Here is a 2,177-nt window from a genome sequence, read left to right on the forward strand (position 1 = left end):
ACATTTCAAAATTAGTGACTAAGTGTACACAAGCAAACAGGAACGGAGGTCTGAAGCAATTGATTGGTAATGCATATCAAAATGTGCTACTGTATAAAAATACCTTTGTGCCTCAAGTCAGCCATGTTGCTTGTCATTAGTGATCAAATCTTTGGCACTGCTCCTCACATTTTGGATACACAAAATCAATGAAGCAGGCCAATCAGAATGGATCTTAGGGTATAGAAATTAAATCTTTATGCTGTCTTGGAGGTTGGCTGTCAAATACTGAACAAGTAAAATAAAGGCCTCATTTTCATTACTTCTCTCCATGCTCAAACCCTAATATTTAAAAGGCATCCTTGTCTAGTAGTCATATATACTCTTACCATCACTCCAAATATTAACACCAAGGCTTATGTCCCATATAAATATACTTATGTAAATTTAATAGAATTATATTTTAATGCCACTAAATTTTGAATAGTGTGTTAGTCTGTTCTCATGCTGCTAATAAAGACATACCCGAGACTGGGTAATTTATAAAGGAAAGGAGGTTTAATGGACTCAAGTTCCACATGGCTGGGCAGGCCTCAAAATCATGGCTGAAGGCAAAGGAGGAGTAAAGTCACAAATTACATGGTAGCAGGCAAGAGAGTGTGTGCAGGGGAACTCTACTTTATAAAACCATCAGATCTCATGAGACTTATTCACTATCATGAGAACAGCACTGGAAAGACCCACCCCCATGATTCAATTCAACCTACCCTCCCATGACATGTGGGAATTATGGGAGCTACAAGTCAAGATGAGATTTGGGTGGGGACATAGCCAAACCATATCAAATAGAAAAGAAAGAAAAGGAAGGAAAAAATATGAGAGCCAGGATGCAACATTTTGATTTATCTTTTTATTTTTTACACAATAACATTTTTATTTAAATCATAGATTATGTATTTCAAGAAGAGAGTCCCCATTCCTAACCCATTAACTTCTCATTTCCTTTCTTAAACTTCAGAATGTGTCTATTTGTTTCTTTGGAAACTACAAATCATCTGGGAGATCTCCTCACTGGCTGTTTTAGTCCTTTGTCTTTGAGAAATGGGCTTCTTCCCACTGGAAGCTGCTAAAAGGATTTTTCCAGAGGAACTACACCACAATGAAGTGACTGCACAGGCAATTATTTGAGGAAAATGCTCCCTGTGAGTTGGCCAGACAGCATGAAATTGAATAATTTTCTTTTAAACCCTAAAGAGGAGAATAAGAGACTTGGGAATAAAAAAAGGATAGGTGCCAAAAAGAATTTCCCCACACAGGGAAGGGAGTGGTCAAGTACCAAAGCACAAGTCAAAAAAATGATGTCTTGGCCTGTCCTACTTAACGATGCCCTCTGAGGACCAGGAGCTTTCTCTCATTCTCTCTGCGATTCTGCTTGGAGTTATAGTCTTGTGTGTTAGTATAAAATGAAAATAACCACAATAAAAATAAATAAATGCCCTTCCAGAAGATATGGTGTCCAGGCATTAAAAGTCCAGCATATGAGATATATTTGATCCACTGAAAATAATATACCATTGGAACTAGTGAAGTCCACTTTTATAATGAACAGAACATCTTGGCTTAGTTCTTCAATATTTTAACAACATGTTCAGAAGTATTTCCTCTAAGTGAAATCCTTGCTGTTATGAGCTTTTGCTTTTAAATTTGGGAAATAAATCTAATTCCCATGAAGAGTTATAAATGAGAATTATAAATATTATTAGCATTGAGTGACACCACAAAATCCCTTCTCATGTTAAATAAAAGTAAGCAAACTGTAACCTAGAAAGGTGTTCAAGTTTACTCAGCTGCTTAGTGACAGGGTCACAGCCAGTAGATATGTGTCCCTGATCCTAGCCCTACTGTTCTGACCACCTGCTTACCACTCAGTATTCTGCTAAGTGGAAAATAAATATAATAATAATTTGTGCAGATATAATTTTTAAATTATTTCTGTAAGGCTGAGTGTAAATTTGTGAATGGCAAATTTTCTCATTCTAACAGAGGCAAGTGCAGATAAGTTTATCTTACCATAAACTGATTTTTATCAATTCAGTGCCTTCACTATATTTTAGTTTTCTATTCAAACATTTAAGTCAAAACCTCTGACCATAAAAAAATACAGAAATAAATTAATTCTGTTTTTACATTGTCAGCAG

Source organism: Homo sapiens, chromosome 6 (assembly GCF_000001405.40).
Source record: "Homo sapiens chromosome 6, GRCh38.p14 Primary Assembly".
NCBI classification, from domain to species: Eukaryota; Metazoa; Chordata; class Mammalia; order Primates; family Hominidae; genus Homo; species Homo sapiens.